General features: G+C 42.3%; 1 protein-coding gene across 5 annotated transcripts in view, besides 3 other annotated features; it reads left to right on the top strand.

The window, feature by feature from the left end:
- MED27 (mediator complex subunit 27) overlaps positions 1-21,345 on the top strand; it is a 219,756-nt gene that overhangs the window by 98,949 nt on the left and 99,462 nt on the right. The gene's annotated exons all lie outside the window — the stretch shown is intronic.
- Positions 8,881-9,081: a silencer, noted in NCBI's record as "peak7336 fragment used in MPRA reporter construct". NCBI's record gives its function as "represses an SCP1 promoter by STARR-seq MPRAs in K562 erythroleukemia cells {active_cell/tissue: K562}" and the evidence as "EXISTENCE:reporter gene assay evidence [ECO:0000049][PMID:32103011]".
- Positions 12,583-12,790: a silencer, noted in NCBI's record as "fragment chr9:134843516-134843723 (GRCh37/hg19 assembly coordinates)". NCBI's record gives its function as "represses an EF-1alpha promoter that drives an FKBP-Casp9 reporter gene in an ReSE screen in K562 erythroleukemia cells {active_cell/tissue: K562}" and the evidence as "EXISTENCE:reporter gene assay evidence [ECO:0000049][PMID:32094911]".
- Positions 15,343-15,844: an enhancer, noted in NCBI's record as "NANOG hESC enhancer chr9:134840462-134840963 (GRCh37/hg19 assembly coordinates)". NCBI's record gives its function as "activates a minimal SCP1, AML or CMV promoter by ChIP-STARR-seq in primed H9 embryonic stem cells {active_cell/tissue: H9 hESC(primed)}" and the evidence as "EXISTENCE:reporter gene assay evidence [ECO:0000049][PMID:30033119]".

Raw genomic sequence — 21,345 nt, 5'->3', positions numbered from 1 at the left:
TATTTCCTAAACTGCTCCATTGAACTGTTTCTTCACTAACAAGAAATTCAACTGTGTCTATGCTGCCTGCTGTCTGCTGCGGGAAGTGTCAGAATTCATTGAACTAAGAAGGCTCTCTGGAGCAGCAGTGAAGTGGTTAAAGCGTGACATTTTTGTACCTTTTTTTTTTTTTTAAATGGGACTAGTCAGGCTCATGTTTCCATACAGTTTTTCCAGCAAACAGTCAAAGCCCGTTTTAAAACAGTTTTCAAGAAGGGCAGAATCCATAAAATGATGGAATATTGTGCGTTTATTTTTAGGAACTAATTGGGAAGCATAACTGTCTTCTGTCAAATGCTTCCTGATAAGTGAAGAGTGATGTATTATTTTGTACCCCTTACCTTTTTGCCCTAAGGTCCCATTTGTTTTATGGAAAGACAAAGTGCAGACACATGAAATAGCATGCTGTGTCCGTGAGGGGTGCCTGCCAGTCTGTTTTCAGCTCTCGCGAATACTAGAATCTCTCAATCACTGAAGCCTTCTGCTGATTGCACAATAGTCTTTGTTTTAGCATCAGAATCCGGTGTGTTCTGAATGTGAGGAAAAATTTTGCCTGGTCCAGCATTTGATTTTTAATGAACTTGGTGGCTGGTTTATTTTTAAGGCAGTTCAGTGCTTAGAGCAACTGCTCTTATTAAATAGCACCTCACTTTCCTCCCTCTCCCCCCCGCCACCCGCCTCCCATTTTCCCATTGTAAGCTTTTATACATACGTGTGTGTGTACATGTGCATGTGTATGTGGCACTATAATATATACACACATATATACACACACACATATATTACCTTCCCCCATCCCCCAAGAAATAACAATTTTCTTGTTAGAGGTATATCTGTGCTTTTGGCAATTCATAGACCAAAAGCCATTTAAAGAAACAGTTAAGGTTTGAGCTTAAGTTCTGAATTGAAAATGTATACAGTTTTATTATGCTTTAAATAAAAAATTAAAATGTTAATTTAGGCAAACCAAGTAGCCTAAGGAAAGAAGTCCCATAGAATCTCGAGGGTGAGTTCTCTCCAGCCAGCCAGCCAGCCAGCCAGCCAGCCATCTTGTTTTCAGGTGCCACTCTACAAGGAGTTAGCATGGACTAGTAGACAGAACCCATCCAAGGTAAGGAATATTTTGGCATAAGTGGCTTTGCCACTGAGCAGATGTCCTTATGGAGATGTCACATTTCTAAAATGTAAACTCTCCATTCCTAAAATGGGGGAGTTTAATTAAGAGTGATTCCTTCATTCTTTATTCAATGCCATATTTCATTGAGCACCTGCCATATTCCAGGCCCTCTGCAAGGCGGATGGCAGATAGCATTAAGACCAGGCTCCCTAGGTGATCTAGTTTCAGTACTAAAATCCAGATTGGGTTATTGTGGGGTTTTTTTTTTTTTTTTTTTTTGGAACAGCTTTTAATATTTAGTAGCAAATAAGTAGTGTGACTTAGTTAGAAAAACAAAATGTTTGCTCAGATCTATCATATGCTCCTAATACAGAAAGGAAGATACATAAGCGTTGGTTACATTCTCTAATCTGCTTAAAACGAGATTGCAGAGATACTCTGGATCTTACCTGATTTCATTCATTGGTTGTGCTGATGCTGTTCTTTAAAATGGTGAGGCAAAGAGGGAGGTGTTAGGTCCCATATTTGACCTAGATTGGGTCTGCTGCCTCCAGCTATGTGCCTCGGGAGAGCCAGATAATGTCCAGGGAGCTCCCAAGGCCCAAGGCATGGGTGAGAGGGAAAAAGAAAAAGGCAAGTGATGCCAAGTGACACCCATCATCTCTGCGGTTCATCACTTGCCTGTACAAGCTTGTGCACCAAATTGTCACCAGGTAGTTGTAGCTAATCTTATGTATGTAAAGATGATAATTCATTTCTTTACATAAAGGGCTCTTCCCTGACATAATTTTTAGGGCTTTGTAGTATAAAGGAAGAGCAAGGAAAGTGGGAGAAAGGGTAGGGATGATCTAGCCATATTATAGACAGCAAGGAAATTTTCTTTGCTCCAAGTTCTGTACATACACAATTGAAACCTGAATAAAACGCCCTCTTGCGATGGTTTCTCCAGCTCTGCAGTTGTTCTGAAGAGTAGTGTGTTTCAGCCCATTTGGATCCAGTGCAGAATGGTACAAGGTTAAATGTCAGGGCAGAGTGAAACCATGCTTGGACAGTCATTTTTCTTAAGAGTTTTTTTTGTTGTTGTTGTTGTTTTAACTTTTTAATGGAGAACTTCAAATGTCCACACACATAGAACACTGAAATAAACTCATATGGACTCCGGCATCCATCAGATCCTTATGCTATTTCAAAGCAAATCTAAGATATCATTTAATCCATAAGCATTTCACTATGGACCTCTAAAGTTTCAAGATACATAAAGTGTAAAGACTTTCAAGAAACAAAACCATAATACTATTATCCCACCTAAAATAAAACTAATAATAGTTCTGTAATGTCAGCTGTCTAGTCAGTTTATAAATTTCTGGTTGTTTCATAGGTGTCATAATTTTTTTAAGCAGTTTGTTTGAATTGGGATCCAAATAAAATCCACTTCTTGATTGATATGTCTTTTGTGTCTTTTTAAATGTATGTATATATAATTTTTCCTTCCACATCTCCCTTTTTTTCCCCCTGAAATTTTGTCGCTGAAGACACCAAGTTGTTTTCCATAGTCTGGATTTTGCTGACTTCATCTCCTTGGTTTCGTTAAACATGTGTCTGTGCTTGGTCTATACTGTAGATTTGGTGGCTGGGTGAAGATGCTTGATCAGAGTCATGTTTGATTTGCTTGTTTGTTTTCACAAGGCTGCTTCATCGATGGTATTGTGTTCTAGCAGGAGGCACAAAATGTCTGGTTGTCTCTCTTTTTGATGACGTTAGCTGCCGCTTATGCTCAGTGTCCACATTCCTCAGGGTGCAGGGAGGTGATATAGTCATGCCATCTTCCCGGTTCATCTATCAGCTGGAACACGTCTACAAAGACAAACTTCCCCATCTCAAACAATTTGGTTGCTCTGTGGTATAACTTTTACAGGACAGGCAGAGTAAATGCTTGATTGGTTTCTTTGTGTTCTAGTTTTCAGAATAGAGCTGGTTGTCTAGCACCCCTCAACAATGACCAATTTACTTATTTTCTAATTATTCTTGAAATGAACATAACAATTATTTTTGGCTAGGACCATTCATTTTTGCAATGACCTAAGCCCTTTACATGAACCAAGAGCAGCCCCAGGCTATTGGGGTGCTGCTGTTTGCACTGCATTCCAGAACCCCCTCCAGAGAGACCAGGACACAGCTCTCAGGGAGGGGAAGATCTCTTCACAGCCAGCCGCAGAGCAGAGTGGTCCACGCCACCCAGAGAGTTGACTGGGAACAAGGGCTGTGTTGGAGAAATCAAATCAGATTGCCCTAACGATGGTTTTCAAGGAGTCGGACACTCCTTAACAATCATGCAGACCAACTTACTCTTACAGACAAGGAAAATGAGGCCCAGAAATATTGTCTAAGGCTGCAGTAGTAATGACAAGTGGTAACTAGAGCCTGAATTTTCTCACTTTCAGTTCAGTACTACTTCCCACAAACCAGGCTTTGACCTGACTGCCTTTGGTTCCAGAGCCGCCACTTCCTTATTTGGCTGCCACCTGGCTGCTCTATGATGGTCACCATTCTGCTCTGCGTAGGGGCTTCAGGCAGAGAATGTGGCACACGCGGAGTTCCTGAAGAAGCAACTTTTGAATACGGTTCCAGGAATCATGATTGGAATAACGAGTGGCTGAAGGGTTAACTGGACTGGTGACTGGCTGGCTTGGCAGGGCCATAAAAAATTCTGTTCAAGTTCATCCTTGTAACTGACATCAAAGTAGTACAGCTGCTACTAGAGCCCCAATTAGTGCTTTTCCTGTTTAAATGGGGCTCCTGCAAGTAGAATCTTGAAATAACCGTGTTGTGATCAGGGTTTGGGAGAGCAGAAAGGGGGAAGGCCTCTTTTAATTATAGTGTTCTTAAAGCGTAATGATCTGTTTTTCAGTCTTTCCTGATTAGATAATAGTGTTGTAGATTAGAGACAGGACCAGCTTAGTTTACTGCTGTATTCATTTATTTGGTTGGATGTCTTTTGGTAGCTATTTTCGTAATCATTGTAAACAGTTTATATTTACAGATTTTCTTAAAGCAAATGAGGAAGTAGTTGGTCAAAAGTTCAGTTTGTCAAGGAAGAAACAAGACTTTGTAGATATTTCTTTGCTAACTTCCCTAAATTACCTGCCTTTTCCTGGCAGTATTTGTTTAAATTCATTGGCAAGGCCTATTTGTAATGGGAGATTGGATTAGTAATAACATTTGCTCTTCACATTTGGTTACAGGACCTGCACTCAGGGTCCTGGGAATAATCCTATCACTCATCTCAGTAATAAGATAACCTACTAATAATACACCCACTGCCCAGTGACTGTTTTTATTGTTATTTTCTTGGCCTTTGATTTTAAGAGCATAACTTATCAGCTGATTAGGATAATGGAGAGGATAATTGAATCTCCAGCATTGCAGCATTTTGCTGGGGTATGCTTTGATGCCTGGATTGAGTAAGAGACCAGAGTCTGGGTTCATTCTGGGCTTTCTTGATTTAGCCAGGTGACCTTGGGCTCACCTGACTTTAGTTCACCGCCATTTTTTCCCTTATAATTACCAGGAGTTGGATTAAGCAAGTCCCGAGGTGTCTTTGAACTCCTCTGTATGATACAGCTCTGGTCCACACACAACCTTCTCTTTCCTGGAGATGACACTTGTTGCCTCTGTCAGTCCTTCTCTCTGTGCCCTTACAGCCCTTCGTGGAAAACTGCCTACCTCACACCCCATGGCCTTTGATCACAGACCCTGCTAAATGGAGGACAGGAAAGGGAATGAGTATGTCCTAGAGAATCAAACAAAGCTGACAGAGAAGGACAGAGAGATGCTGCTTAGATTTCTGACAGTCCCTCAGTTTGTAGTTCCTCTCCCTTGGAGAGCTGGCAGAATTCCTGATGTTTGAATCTGTGAGGACATTTGGGTGTCCTGCCAGTGAAACCCCACATCCTTTTTTACTCAACTTAGTTTTAGTGGGTTCCTGTTCTTTGCAGCCAGTTGATCCTGATGACATCTTCTGTATCCTCATAATGCATTGTGTTTCTCCATCGTTCCTTTCTCATCAGTTATTACATATTTGCGTTACTCTGCTTCTCTAAGCCGTTAACTCTTTGAGGGCAGGGATTGTGTCTTCTTCATCTTTGCTCCCCCAGCGCTAATGGCAGTATAGGAATGTGGTCAATGGTGGTCAAAAGAATGAATGACTGGACCACTGCTGCTTAAAACAAAATTAAAACAAGGAAACTAACCCAGCGAGATGATATTCACTGAAAATTGATGAAGCTTGTTCATTTAGAAGCAGAAACAAGATGAGAACTCAGGACTTACCTACTGTCCTTGCTTCTGCCCTTGTCTGTTGAGGTGTGAGTAAGCAACGAACTGTTCAGCAAGATGAAAGGAATAGTAACTTGGTCTGGATGACCTACTAGCCAAATTCCTACATATTCTTCATAACACAGAGAGTTGACTGTTTGCAATTTTTAAGAAGTAGGTGAACTTCTCATAGTGGAGGTACAATGCTAAGCTGCTATTTATTTGATTATAAAATTGGAGATACATTCCTTTTGAAAAAGACTGGCTCTAAGATGTAATTTGAGTATTCTCCAAATCACATATTTAAAGGAAAAAGAGATAAATAACAGCAACTAAAACAAGTTTTACAAATGACTACAAAGTAATTATGTTTCTTTTCGTGGCTTTTTGCTTTGGCTTAAAGGTCAGCATGAAAACAGATGAGAGTTAAACTTAGAACTGAGCATATCAGGTAGAGAATCACTTAGGTTCCATCGAACACCCACTACCAGCCAAGTTTTTGGGTTTACTGGTCTTAAAAAAAGATATATGCCCTTCTGAACTGAGGGAAAGAAGGGGGAGATGTAGGAAAACACTGAGGAAGTGACAGCAAATGAGGTAACTGGTGAAAGTGACAGATGGAGGATACTCACTGGAATACAGCTGGAGTGACAAGAGCACATCCAAAGTCCTGCCTAACAGGTGAGTTGGGAGGAAAGTTTACAGTCAAAGTCAAGTATAACCCTCCACCACATTCTTCTCTCCCGTGTTCCACATTTCAGGCAAATGAACAAAGGAGGCCCCTGTGAGTGTAAAACAGTCCAGACTCCTGATTTCTGTCCCCAGCTCTGTCTGACCCACTCCTCTTCTTTGGGCAGGTCATTTCTCTCCGGGCCTGAGTTTCCTTACTTTTTAAATGAGAGAATTAAACTTTGCAATCTCCAAGGCCCCTTCTCACTCTGAAAACACTATCTACATAGTCAGATATAATCACACATCCCCAGTGTCCTGGGATCATTAAAAGTTCAGTCTACTAACAGAACTGTGTGGTAAGAATGGTAATGAGGTTGCTGGTCAGTCTGACACAGGAGCCTCAGGGATTCCTACTTGATCTGTATATCCGTTAAGCCTGGTACCTTCTTCTGCAAGTATCAGAAACCCTGCAACTGACTAACTTAAACTAACTTAACAGTAGAACTAATTTAACTAACCGAAACAGGACAATGCATTTATAACAAGACAGTTTATTATAAAAAGAAATTCCAAGGTGAGGGCAGCACTAGGGTGAACTGCAGTCAACTCTGAGATGTCACCACCTGTAAGATGTGCCCTGGTACTATGTTCCACTAAGGAAGGAAAATCTCTGCCAGTTACATGATGACATACTGCAGCTTAGAAAACACATCTGATTTCAGAGATTAATAAATGTGGAGGGAAATGTATCTTAGAATCCAGTAGGCCGGGCACGGTGGCTCACGCCTGTAATCCCAGCACTTTGGGAGGCCAAGGCGGGTGGATCACTAGGTCAGGAGATCAAGACCATCCCGGCTATGGTGAAACCCGTCTCTATTAAAAAAAAAAAAAAATAGAAAAAATCAGCCGCGCGTGGTGGCGGCCACCTATAGTCCCAGCTACTTGGGAGGCTGAGGCAGGAGAATGGTGTGAACCCGGGAGGTGGAGCTTACAGTGAGCCAAGATCACGCCACTGCACTACAGCCTGGGCAACAGAGCAAGACTCCGTCTCGAAGAAAAAAGAATCCAGTAATACAGTAATTCAGTAGCTCAAGGATGTCATCTTTGTAAACTGCTGTTCTTCCTCCGGCTGCTCCCTTGATGGCTGCAAGACGGCTGCAGCCCGTCCAGTCAGACAAGACAAAGCCAAGTCCCAGGTAACTCTGCCTCTAGAATCGCTTGAACCCAGGAGGCGGAGGTTGTAGTGAGCCGAGATCGCGCTACTGCACTCCAGCCTGGTGACAGAGTGAGACTCTATCTCAAAAAAAAAAAAAAAAAAAGAAAAGAAAAAGAAAAAAAGAAAAGGGAAGCCTCTTCCAGAAGCCCTGCGGCCGATTTCTTCATGTCTCATTGGCCAGAATGGTCACACATCACATGCATGCCTGTTGGCATCCCAGTCATTGCCAAGGACCCAGAGTTATCCTGGAGGGGATAGTGTCAACCTGCTCAGGATCCCTACAGCTGGGGATAGGCCCTTCCCTGAAAGGGGATAATTGTCACAGGCAGGGTTTTGTTCATAAGGAGGAAAGAGGGAATGGACAGGGAACTATTAAAGCAAGAAAGTGTACTAGAAAGTTAAAAAGAAAAAGAAAAGAAAAAAGTGTACTAGAAAGTTTATAATTTCTTCTAGGTAGGAATTGGTGACAGGAAGATGGTTCATGATTAATGTCAGTTATCTTCCTGCTCTGAGCATTTGAGTGTTTGAAATTTTCTTGTATTGCTTCCCTCATTTATAAATTCTGTGATAGTAATTACTTTCTGCATTTTAATATAGAGAGGTACATACTCAGTTTTGGAAATAGTTGGGTTTACAGGTGCACACCATCACACCTGGCTAATTTTTTGTATTTTTAGTTGAGATGGGGTTTCACCATGTTGGCCAGGGTGGTCTCAAACTGCTGACCTCAGATGACCCACCCGTGTCAGCCTCCCTGTTGTTGGTTTTCTGAACAGGACTGATGGGGCAAACTCTGTAGGTTACTCTGTGTTGGGATTAGCCTTTTTGGTATAACAGTTCTTTTCCATGAATGTTACCAGGGGTCTTCTTGACCTTGTTCCCATGAAAGCATTACCCCTACCTGAGTCTCTCTTCATTCAGCCCAGGGACTTGGAGAGTTCAGGAGAGAAGCGGGACAATTGGAGTCAAAGATTTAATACTCATTCATTCATTCATTGGACATTTACTAAACGTGAATGTATACAGGGCTGAGTGCTAGATTCTGGGTGGCAGGGACATACCACCTGAGACTTTAGTGTGGCTTTTGAAGAATTTCTTGCTGGAGGTTACATTTGCTGTCTACTGCCTTAGGATATTTCTTTGCTTTGTCCATCAACTGCATGTGTCTGTCTCTATTTATAGTGCAGAACCTCTGAAGAATAGCATTTGGTGTAAGAATAAGTGAGCAAAACCTGCCTGCTCAAGCTATTATTTTTTTTTTGGTAAATCTAAAAGACACTATTTTGTATTGGGGACTTGCTCCAACTGTAAATTGGAATATGAAATTTGACCTCACTTTCCATGTAGGGAAAAGGAATAGATCGTTTTAGTACTCATTCCTCCAGAAAGATCTGAAATAAATATTCATTGCTTCAAACCTCTCATATTTGAAACCTGTATGTTCTAATCACAACAAATCCGATTAGAAGCTGTCTGTACTAGAATTAAGAGGGATAGAGGGAGGCAAACAGAAAGTGCCAACATAGATTTTTTTTTGAGAGAGAGTAGTTAGCCTTGCAGTAAAATCCCTTCTGTCAGTTGCCTGTGTAGTCTGCAAGCTTATCACTGTAATATCTATATGGAAGAGTGACCTCAGTGACCACACATGTAAGTCAGACTTCTGAAATGGTTTAAATCTGATAGTGCTTTTGAAATTCCCTTTTAGAGATGCAGACTCCTTTGTATAGAGATAAACCATAGAAAACTGCAAAGTTTTCCTCTCATTTCTGGGAAAAGGATTAAAATCAGACAGGTAATTAAGACTGGAATCCAAAAATAAATGTCTGTTTTCCTCACCTCCCCGCCCCCCACTCCCAGTCTAGCCCACAAGCAATATCTCTAGATTACATCTCAAGTCCTGCTCTTCTCCCCGTCACCACTAACGGGGCCCAGGTCCGGGCCACCCTCTTTTGGCACTTGGGGTCCGGCCAAGGTCTCCTCACTGGACTCTGCTTCTACTCTGGCCTCTACATAAAGCAGCCAGAGCAACATTTCACGACATAGGTTTAATTTTGCCCCTAATTGTTAAACCCCTCAGTGGCTTCTCATCACATTCGCGATAAATTCCAAACTCCTCTTATTGCTGGTCTGCAAAGGCTTCCATGATCTGGCCCCTCCTGGCTCCGCTGCCTCATCGCCTTCCACCTCCCTCTCTCTCCCCCTGTCCTTGCTAAGCTTCTTCGCTGTTCCGGGAAATCTCCAAGTTTGAGCCCACCTGTGCCTCAGCACTTTCTGTTCCTTCTGCCAGCTGTGCTCTCTTCACAGTGTGTCAGGTGTCCTTCTTCCCAGCATGCTTTTTCATTATTAAAGTTTTAAAGTCCATAAAAGTAGAATGGGAAAATGAACTCCCATGGGATAATCCCCCAAATCCCAAATCACCAACATTTGGCTGTGTTTTCTTTATCTATCCTTTGTTTCTTTCTTTTTTGCTTTTGCTTTTTTGTTGTTGCTACTGGAATGTTTTCAAGCAAATCCCTTGTGTCATGTCATTCTACCCCCGAACACTTGTTTCTGCAAAATAAGGACATTCACTGTTATAATCACAATGCCATTATCACATGTAACATAATTAGTGATTCCTTCATATCATCAATACTCTGCCTGTATTCGTATTTCCCTACTTGTCTAAAAATGCCTTTTTACAGTTTGTTTTTTATCAGGATCCAAACGAACTCCACATGATCTGTTTGGTGTTTGTCTTCTCTACTGTTCTCCTCCTAGCCTCCATTTATCTTGCTGTGCTTTCTGTGATGTCTCTTTGCTCTTATGTCTCTTTTAATTTGGTCTTTATTTCTAACATTGTTTTCCTTCACATTTTACTGAGTTTTGCCAGTTCTCATTTCGCATGTTCTTCTTGTCCAGCCATCTCGCTTCTGAGAACGTCTATTCCTGATTTGTGCTGTTTTTTCAAAGCAGCAGTTAGTTGTTTCCTTAATTTCTTTCAGCTCAGTTTGAAATAATTGGTTACAGTTTTCACCGGCTTGTGGTCCCTGTTTCGTGGTGTGGACTGTCCTGTTCGGGTTCACCTTGTTTTCTCTTGTAGTACTGGGTGTAGTGTTTCTGTGTTGGCCCCGTGGAGGGCTCTTCCGTGGAGAGAGCATGGTAGCCAGGGCGGCCTCCTGGCCTCAGTGAGGACGAAGGTACTGGGTACCTGTCTGCACTCTGTGGCTGTCCTGGCCTTCAGGTGCTGTGCTGGTGGCCCTGCCAGGCCCTGGACAGCCCACCCTCCTTCCACTCCGGGCGTCCCGCCGGCTTTGTTTGAGTTCTGCTCCCAGCCACGTGTCCACAGAAGAGGAGCTGCTTTTCTGAGTGGAGGTTCGCTGGGTGGTTCTGCAGCCCCTTGGTGACCCTTTTGTAAGGGTTTGTGGGCATCTGCATGCACACCCTCAGAGGACCTTGCCCAATTTGCTTGCTGTTCACAGACCCACTTGTCAAGGCTCCCGCTGCAGGGCCCTGTTATGGAGATGAGTATCTCCTGGAGATCTTGGGATCTTGTGGCACTAGGGCAGGTCATTTGTCCTCTTTCACCTCCCTCCTATGCCCCCACCCCCCCCCAGCCCTCCAGCCTCATGGCTGCTGATGCTGGGTGGTGCTGCCCACCTATATGCTGTGGATCATGGGGAGTTCTTTAAATCTGGCTTTACTGAAGAGTTCATTCAGCTCTCAATATTATAGCTGCTTTGTCTGGTTTCCAGGAGGAGATTTAGAGAGATTCCAAAATTATGCTGGCTCCATCAGATGAGAGGTTGCCTCAGGGCCTTCCTGACCACCTCCAAGTAGCCACTCTCATGCGCTGCCCTCTCAAGCCTCTGAGCTCTGTGTGTGGCGCACATCACCCCGGACCTGCTCTTCATCCTTGCAGTCTGCCAGGGCCATCTGGCTCCCTCTCCAATCCCTCTTGGGCTAGAATAGCAGCGGCCTAGTATAAATGATGGGCACAACGGGCTTATCCTCCCTTGCCACCAAGAAACTGGGAAACTTTTCCCAAAAGCTCTCAACCTCTTTATTATGATTATGTTACCCTGAAATATGAGTAAAAGAAAAATCTTTTTCTAAAATGTTACGAGAGCACTTAATGTACAAAATGCAAGAAGAAACCTCCATTGAAGATGTTTAAAATAGTAATGAAATATACACTGAATCAACCGTCACCAAAAACTAAAAATCCAGGCTCACCCTGTCCCAGCAAAGAGGACTGATATCTTGGTTTCTGTCTTTCCTTTATGGAGTCCCTGATATCTAAGACTGAGTAAACAATCTCTAGATCAGCAGTCCCTAACCTTTTTGGCACCAGGGGCTGGTTCGTGAAAGATACTATTTCCATGGACAGAAGGTGTGGGGGGCAGGAGCGGGGGGTGGTTTCAGGATGATTCAAGCACGTTACGTTCATTGTGCGCTTTATTTCATTTCTATTATCATTACATTGTCATATATAATAAAATAATTACATAACTCATCATAATGTAGGATTAATGGGAGCCCTGAGCTTATTTTCCTGCAACTAGACAGTCCCATCTAGGGCTGATGAGAGGCAGTGACAGATCATCAGGCATTTGATTCTCATAAGGAGCGTGCAAGCTAGATCCCTCGCATGCGCAGTTCACAATCAGGTTCACACTCCTGTGAGAATCTAAGGCGGCTGCTGAGCTGACAGGAGGTGGAGCTCAGTAATGTGAGCAATAAGGAGCGACTGTAAATACAGATGAAGCTTTGCTCGCTCGCCCACCACTCACCTCCTGCTGTGCGGCCCAGTTCCTAACAGGCTCAGACTGGTACCCGTCTGTGGCCCAGGGGTTGGAGACTCCTGCTCTAGATTCACAAATACAATGTTTTCAAGTGTTTCCATTAGGGAGTCCTGTAAAATAATGGGAAGAAAGATGGACTTAGAGCCAGAAACAAAGCAAGATTCTTGTCCCATCTCTGCCCCTTAGTAATGATGCAACCTTGGGCCTATCTCTGCATGCACCAGGGTTTCTACTGTCAGTAAAAGAAGAGGGTTGGGTCCCTTTCACCTCGTAGTACTACGATTTTTTTTTTTTTTTTTTTTTTTGAGACAGGGTCTCTCTCTTGCCTAGGCTGGAGTGCAGTGGTGTGATCTAGGCTCACTGCAGCCTCAACCTCCTGGGCTCAAGTGATGCTTCCACCTCAGCCTCCCAAGTAGCTGGGACCACAGGCATGCAAAACCATGCCCAGCTAATTTTTGTACTTTTTGTAAAGATGAAGTCTTACTATGTTGTCCAGACTGGTCTCGAACCTCGGGGTTCAAGCAATCCCTCCTACCTTGGCATTCCAGAGTGGTGGGATTACAGGCATGCGCCACCGTGCCTGGTCTCAACATTCTTATAAGCATAAATATCTTTTAGCTTAAGACCCATTCTAATTCCTGAGTATAAGAATCATGAGGCCGGGGGTGGTGGCTCACGCCTGTAATCACAGTGCTTTGGGAGGCCAAAGCGAGCGGATCATGAGGTCAGGAGATCAAGACCATCCTGGCTAACACGGTGAAACCCCGTCTCTACTAAAAAAAATACAAAAAATTAGCTGGGCATGGTGGTGGATGCCTGTAGTCCCAGCTAATCAGGAGGCTGAGGCAGGAGAATGGCGTGAACCCAGGAGACGGAGCTTGCAGTGAGCCAAGATGCGCCACTGCACTACAGCCTGGGCGGCAGAGCGAGACTCCGTCTCAAAAAAAAAAAAAAAAAATCATGAGAGGCTGGGCACAGTGGCTCACGCCTGTAATCCCAACACTTTGGGAGGCCGAATCACCTGAGGAGGGCGGATCACCTGAGGTCGGGAGTTTGAGACCAGCCTGACCAACATGAAGAAACCTCGTCTCTACTAAAAAAAAAAAAAAAATACAAAATTAGCTGGGCTTGGTGGTGCATGCCTGTCATCCCAGCTACTTAGAAGGCTGAAGCAGGAGAATTGCTTGAACCCGGGAGGCCGAGGTTGCAGTGAGCTGAGATCGTGCCATTGCACTCCAGCCTGGGCAACAAGAGCGAAACTCCATCTCAAAACTTAAAAAAAAAAAAAAAAGATTCATGAGAGGAAAGTGTTTTCTGAGCTGGAGACTCTGCCGTAAGTGCAACCTGATAATGAAAGCAGAAGTAATCACTTTAAAATCTATACTTCAGTTTAATTTTAAAATTATCCATTTGCAAGTAGCCATTGAGCATTTTTTGTTGATTCACAGTGGTGGTGTCATGGGGGATACATTTAAGAGAGATTTATTGGGAAGGTACAGTTCCGAAAATTGTACCATGCATTTCTGAAAATTTTGAATTAACACCCACAAATTGGAATGGCCTAGAGTTTATATTTTGAATAAACTTATGGCATATTTATTCAAGCACAAAGATTTTTGTACAGAGTAAAGAACAGTGTAAGAAAGTATTCAATTACTGATAGAACATTAATGATAGCTACTGCATATCAAGCACATATCATATGCTAGACCCTGTGCCAAGCACATTACATGCATGGTTATTTAGCGATGCTGTGAGTGAAATAGTATTGTTCCTCTTTATCAGATGAAGAAACTGAGATACAAGAAAGTTAATGCCACACAGCTAGTGAAGAGTGAAGATGGTCATAGCTCTGGTGAGCATCCAGATAGTACTTGCTACGTGCTAGAGTCCAAGTACTCTGCATTTTTTTAGTCATTGAGTCTTCCAGAATTCCTGTGAGGTTGATATTATTAGGTATTTTTTGTAAAGGAGGAAACTGAAGCACAGAGAGGTTAAGTGACTTGGCTAGGGTCACATAGCTAGCTCAGGTCCTGCCAGAGCAAGGACTTGAACTTGGGCACTGAAGCGTCGGGAGTCCGGGTCCTTGTCCACTAGATCATGCCACCCAGCATCAGTATAGTGACTGACAGACTCCAAAGCTCTTGCTTTCAACCATTTCATTAAAAGTGATACTAGAAGAGTACAAGGGATCCTAAGTAAAGACATTTTAAACTTGTTGTTTTTTATGTTAGGGATAACATTGGGTTTTTAGCCATATAGCATGTAACCTGAAATTCAGCACAAATAAAGCTTCCTCTTGCCTGGTCTGTGAAATCTTGAGTTTAGGGACCATTAGTGGAAATACACTTCCTTTTCCTTTTCCCTTTCCTTTCCTTTTTTTTTTTTTTTTTGTGACAGGGTCTGGCTCTTTTGCCTGGGCTGGAGTGCAGTGGCACAATTATGGCTTACTGCAGCCCTCCTGGGATCAAGTGATCCTCCTGTCCCAGCCTTCTGAGTAGCTGGGACTACAGGCACATGCCACCATGCCTGGCAAATCAGTTGCTTTTGGTTTTGTTTTGTTTTTTTTTTTTTTTTAAAGAAACAGGCTCTCACTGTGTTTCCCAGACTGATCTCGAATGCCTGGCCTCAAGCAATCCTCCCACCTCAGCCTTTCAAAGTGCTGGAATTACAGGTGTGAGCCACCACCCCTGGCCAAAATGCAGTCTTTATTCTTAGGCGTCAGACCATACTGCAAGGTGGAAGTCCTCTCTGGGATGCGCATGGTTGCGAGCACTAAAGACTCCCGGGTCTCTGAAGGTCACCTGCTGTCTTGCTGATGCTTGGTTACTTTCCAATGGTGCGTTATATTTTGCAAAACAATACTCTGAAAAAGTGTTAATTTAAAAAGAGAATTCCCAGCGGGTGGTGGTGGTGATACAGGTCTAAAGTTAGTGACATGTTTTTATCAAAAATTTGAAATAACATTTATCAAGAAAGGGGAACAGCCTAGGGTCTGTTAAGTGGAATCCTTTATTTTTTGTTCAAGAAAAAGTGAGGTGATGCCTTGCAACATAAGGTATCCCAGGACTTTAATCGACATGTAGACTCCTAAGAGGCAAAGCCAGACTTTCATCTCACTCAGCTCTGCTGTGGTGTCACCAGAGAGCCGGTGGCTCTGAACCATAAGTGACAGAGAAGGACCAAGAGCAACAGATCCAGCATCACTGCCTCTCCTTGTGGTTATTGAGCTGATCTCTTGGAAAGTCTTTAGTGGCTTTTCAACTTGAAAAGAACAGATTTGAAATAAATAAATTGATCCATTAACCTGTTACAGGAAGGTTCCCACTGTGCTGAGTACCCCCAAATCATCTCTGATAAGGTTGACTAAGCCACACTCTAATAGATTTCAGAGTAGTATGTGGACCGTAAAATGACCATTAACCAGCTTGCTTTGTTCATGAGAGTCAGGCACTTAATGCCATGGCCTCGCGCTAGAAGCACATTCCACTGTGGTATGTTTCAACTCTGTGAAGTCATTGATCAGATGAAAATGACCAGTTAGCAAGTAAGTGTTTCCTGGGCTGTAGGCTTTATGAATAATGTGTTCGTCAGTTAAAATCAGCACTTTAAGCAATTGTTTAAACCTAACCATTTGGGAATGAGGGAGAGAGCTTCATGAATAATTTATTTTCAGAAGAAAAGATTAAGGGATCTGAACTTTTTCACCTTCCCAAACCTTTTTGACTTAAGTGAAACTACCTGCAAATGCTGTAAATCCAGATAAATAAAAGTCATAATGCATACACAATGTATGTAAGTTTATTGTACTTTCACTTTTAAAAAGCCTTTATTGAAAAGGTGTAGGCATGTAAATACAATGAGTTTAAAATAAGAACTGAGTATGGAATTGCTGGAAGGGTTGTGGGATTTTAGATGTAGCGTTGAACATGCATTAGCATAGTACCATGGGAAAGCTTAAAATATGGGTAATATGTCCTTGTATCGGAAAGGACTTCATCAAAGCAGACCAGTTTGATCCCTTGTGCTTAAACATTATGCCTTCCACTTTCTAAAACAGACCGCTGTCTTATAAGAATTGCACGTCCTTGGTTCAAGGTTTAAGTAAGAGAATTTAGGATGGGGGTTAGGTATCAATATCACCAATCCAAATTCTCCTTGCCGCCTTCTTTCTCTTGTTCTTATGTTATTGAAAATACCCAGTTTTGTATTTGTGGTCCTGTCTGATACTTGGCTAGAGTGATTTGTCTTAGTGGCTGAAATTTTCATTGACCATCTTGGCAGTGAAGGAGTTACTGAAGGCACAAAGGAGCCTGAATATTACTTCACAGGCATAATACCAACACTACCACCACCACCACCATCACTATCACCTCCAGCATCACCACCACCATCACCATCACTACTACCATCACCTCTACCATCACCTCCACCACCACCACCATCACCTCCACCACCAGCACCAGCACCACCACAATCGCTATCAACCACCACCATCACTGCTGGCAGCTGTTATTTATTGAGTGATTACTCTGTCAGACACTGTTCTAAGCACTTAACACTGATTACCTTATTTAATCCTAACAACCTTCTGAACTAGGTGCAACTACAATCTTCATTTTATGAATGAGGAAACTGATGCTCAGAGTGATTAATTACTTCCCCAGGTTCACTGGAGCCCATATTTTTAACCCTTTCAGCTTCTATACCACCTTCTCCACTCTCCTCACAATCAGATCAGTACTTACTCTGGGTGGGTAGTCAACATCATAGAAGGGCACACTCACTTATTCACTATTCATTTTTTAACCCCCGTAATAAATTGGAACGCAGTCAAGAACCAAGAAGTATGGAGAGGAGGCCTAACCGAAAGTGCTGTTATGGGTTTCCCATACTGTCAAAGACCCTCTCACAAAGCCCATTTTCTCCGGGTTGTCAGGGTAACGAATTTGGAAACATGCAGCGCACATACTAACAACAGCTAGGAGCCAATGCTTATATAACAAGAGAGGAGATGGACAGAACTATAAATATAAAGCACAGGAGCCGATGCTCATAACATTCACAAAAGTTAAGTTGTTTTCTCGTTAGGAATAAATGTAAGTATATCTTTGTTTTAAAAAGATACTCATAAAAATAGAAAAAATTAAGCGTAGGCATTCGAAGAGATAGGCATGAAGGATCTGAAACCTTTGCTAATGAGAAAGGGCACATTCTCCAGCAGTGGTGGACAAATGAGGGGAGGCTGGGGCACTGAGCCTGGCTCCTTACAGCTGTTAGTGTCATAAATACTTTTGCCATGATATAGGTGTCTCCCTTGTTCCCATCTTCTTCTGCTTGCTGCTTCTGGGGGCTTTAAAAATTTTCATGTTTAAGTTAGGGGGCCTGCCACTTTAAGCTAGTCACACTTGAAATATATCCCTTGAAATTATCTAAACTTAATTTCTGGCCATTTTGTTTCAGAAATGCTAACCTCAGGGGGTCTTTGTTCTCTACGCTAAAACTTAATCTGTTTGGAACAATTCCATTTCCTCTCTGTAGAAATTGACTGGCCATGGCTCCTGTGAATGATACGGTTGCTATTATCCCTGAACACTGTAAAAATGAACTTTGAAACAGTTGGGTAGGACCCAAACAGAAAATGATGTATGGCTTGGAAATAGTTTAGCTGAACATTATGCTTTAATATTTTACTGGCCATTGCAGCACAGGTTTAGAAATTTATGTTCGGCTTTTTAAAGTTTTATTTTTATATTAGAAACTTTCTTGCAAACCAAAATAGATGAATCAAGTGTATTTGAATCAATGCTGAAATGTCGTCCACATCTGTGGAATGAAAATCATTAGCCAGTTACTTAAAATTCAGATAAAATGAAACCATCTTACTATGAACTTCATCCAGCTTTCCTCTTCACTAAAGGAAAGAATGCCAAGAATATTTACAAAAATTTATTTAACAGGATTACTGTTTTATTCCAAAAGATTTAAAGAAAATACCAAAACAGATACTAATTGAGCATAAAATAGCACCCAGCCGGGATGGAGTTGAGTATGTCCAAGCATCCACTTTAAACACAAACTCATGATTTCTTGAATCTGTGTTTGAAAATAGATCAAGCTTTCTCAAAACCTAGTGGGATAATTTCGATTACATGTAAACTATGACCAGAATTTATTGCTGGAAAAGTAAGAGTGGATCAGAATATAATACTCCTATCACAAAAAAAAAAAAATCACACGCCAGGCACAATGGCTCACACCTGTAGTCCCAGCATTTTGGGAGGCTGAGGTGGGTGGATCACTTGAGCCCAGGAATTCAAGAGCAACCTGGACAACATGGTGAAACCCTGTCTCTACCAAAAAAATACAAAAATTAGCTGGGTGTGGTGGCACATGCCTGTAATGCCAGCTACTCAGGAGGCTGAAGTGGGAGGATGACTTGAGCCTGGAAGGCGGAGGTTGCAGTGAGTTGTGATTGTGCCTCTGCAGTCCAGCCTGGGTGACAGAGTCAGACCCCGTCTCAAAAATAAATACATAAATAACAGTGGAAACTTTTCTCCATGTGGCTGTAAGAGTATCTTAAATCTGCCTTTTGGAAGAGTTTATTGGTTCACAATGCTTATCAGTAGCCACATTTTAAATGTCTCTATCTCAGACTAGTGTATGGGGGAAAGAAAACATTCAGAAGGATCTGAGTTCCAGTCCCAGCTTTGCCTACCACTAGATAGAAGTCTTTAAACCAGTCAGCTAGCCTGTCCATCGAGTAACAAATTTAGACTAGCTATCCTCTCAGTTGTCTTCTGTCTCCAGGATTATATGATTCCTTTGGAGATTATCATTATAATTCTTAAATCTATCAACTTTTGGAATATATTTCCAAACATGGATTGATTCACTGAAGTGCCTTTCACTTCATGGAGAAAATAGCGCTAAGGGTGCACAGCACATATTGTCATCTTTCAGAGAGAGAGAGAGCAGAAGAAGGCTTTTTAGCTGTAGAGTGTTTAGGGCCCCTGTGGATATGGCCAGGCTGTGCTACCCTAAGTGGGAAGGGACTGTAGAAAGCAGCGCCTCCCCAGCATGAGGCTCCTTCGCTAGTTCACGAAAGCAGCGGTTCTGTCCTGTGCCCTGCTGCCTTCATCAGGCCTTGAAACACAGAGGCCAATGGTCAGCCATTATTTACAGTGGAAATCTGGAAAAACACTATTTCCCAGGGCTGTCAGCGGACCCTCAGAACCTTCATGAAGATGATGAAAAGTTTCCAAGTCCTGCTGATACTCATACTACAGCTAATCAAGTGTAAATGCTTTACGTTGTTTAACAACAGAAAACATGCTATACTGTTCTGAACTCAACAAAGAAAGAAACCTTTGAATTAAGGCTGAAAAATATCAGAGAGCATTTCAGGCAGGGAAAAAATCCTGTTCTGTGTTTGGGATGTGATTACCCAGAGCCGCCGCCCAGACAGCTTCAAGCTTCTGTCTCTGAAACAAGCAGCCATTGTGTTGCCTTCTTGCCTGCTGCGACATATGCCACGTGCGGGCCATTTTTACGGGCATGTGATGGGTTTCAGTGTCAAGACTGTTGCCCAGTGGGCAAAACCCTCACTTACTTTGGAGGGTTAAAAATGTTGATAAGCAAGAGCTCAGCCTCCTTGTTTTCGTACCCATTTAGATCAGCAGAGACCTCTCTAATGACACTCTTCTCCAGTTTCCCTGAGCTGTGGCAGGAATAATTCCACTCATAATGAGGCAGGTGTCCAGCTTTAACCCTGCATGCCTCTACAGGCGGTCATTTCTTCGACTCTCCTGGCAGCCTCTCCTCTGCTAGCATTCTTCCCATTGTTACGTTTTGCCTAATATTTAACCTCAGTGTTTCCTGCTGTCACTCTGTCTTATTATTCTCATCGACTGAGGATAATTGATCTGTCTTCACTCAGCAACTTCCATTTGCATGTTTTAGGAGTAGCTGTGTCATCTCATCTCTTATTTTGTGGTAGACACTCTCCCCTTGTTGTTAAGGCTTTGTATACCTGTGTTCAAAGGGATTACTGGCTGTATTCATCTTCTGTACATACGCTCCAATTTGTCATCCCTCATTATTATTCATGTTGGTACTACACGTGTTTTTACCAAAATGGAATGATTATCTCCCATTTTACATGTAATCCTTTATATTAACACAATTCTAAGCAGTTGACTTTAACGCTGTTGCATTGTTGACTCATTCACAGTGTGATTCACTACAGTCTCTGTCAAGACAAAGGTGAGATCTGAGTGAGAGAGACTCTTTGCTGGATCATTATGAGCCACGTCCCTAGCTCTTGAACTGTACCCACTCAAATATTTCTTGTGTGCACGAGCGCACACACACACCCCACTTCACAAGTCAGAGCGTCAAGCTACAGCCTTCATGGGGTAGGTGCATATGGTGATATTTGGAGCATTAAACGGAGTGATTGATACGACACAACTGAATCTGAGTTACAGCTGCATCTGTTAATTGTAACAGATCTCCTGTTTACAAGAGTGGGTGTCTGAAATTTAAGAATTCGAAGACCTGCATGCTTATATTCCTGGCTTCTATTTCTAAAGCCGTTGACATTTAAGTAAATAATTGTTTTTATCTGTTCTATTCTGAGATCCTCAAGTGAAAGACAGATGAGGTATGTGCCCTTTAATTACACATGCCCTCTGAGCATCCTACACAGCCACATTAGGGCAGCCTACTCAGCTACAGCAAATATTCATTTGTGAACTGTAGTGTTCCTGTAAATTTCCTTGATTACAAAATTTGTTTCCTGGGGTTCTTGTTAAAATACTCATCTTTAGTCCTCAGGCTTAGTTGCAATAGTTCCTTCTAGTTACAAGTTTCTTCAGAAATTTCTAGTAATGGGCCCCCCTAGATAGTGGCAAAGAACACGTATTTTATGCCAGAATGGTACTTGGAATTGTTCTGCTGTTATATACTGATAGATTTCACTGAAATCTATCAAGCATAATAGATTCCAGTTATTCCCAGAGGTTAAGAAATAGGGTATTCTGATTAATTTGAGTTTTCTGGAATAATTACCGTATGTACCATTCAAAGATGGACAGTCTTTATAACTGTATAATTGCTTCTTTGTGCATGTAGTAAGCTTTAGGAAATGTGTATCGAACTGACTAGAGCTGGAAGGACCCTTAGAGATTACCTTGTCTAAA

This window comes from Homo sapiens, chromosome 9 (genome assembly GCF_000001405.40).
Source record: "Homo sapiens chromosome 9, GRCh38.p14 Primary Assembly".
Classification (NCBI taxonomy): Eukaryota; Metazoa; Chordata; class Mammalia; order Primates; family Hominidae; genus Homo; species Homo sapiens.
Note: the sequence above shows the minus strand (reverse complement) of the source record. Positions and strands in the feature narration are given on the sequence as shown.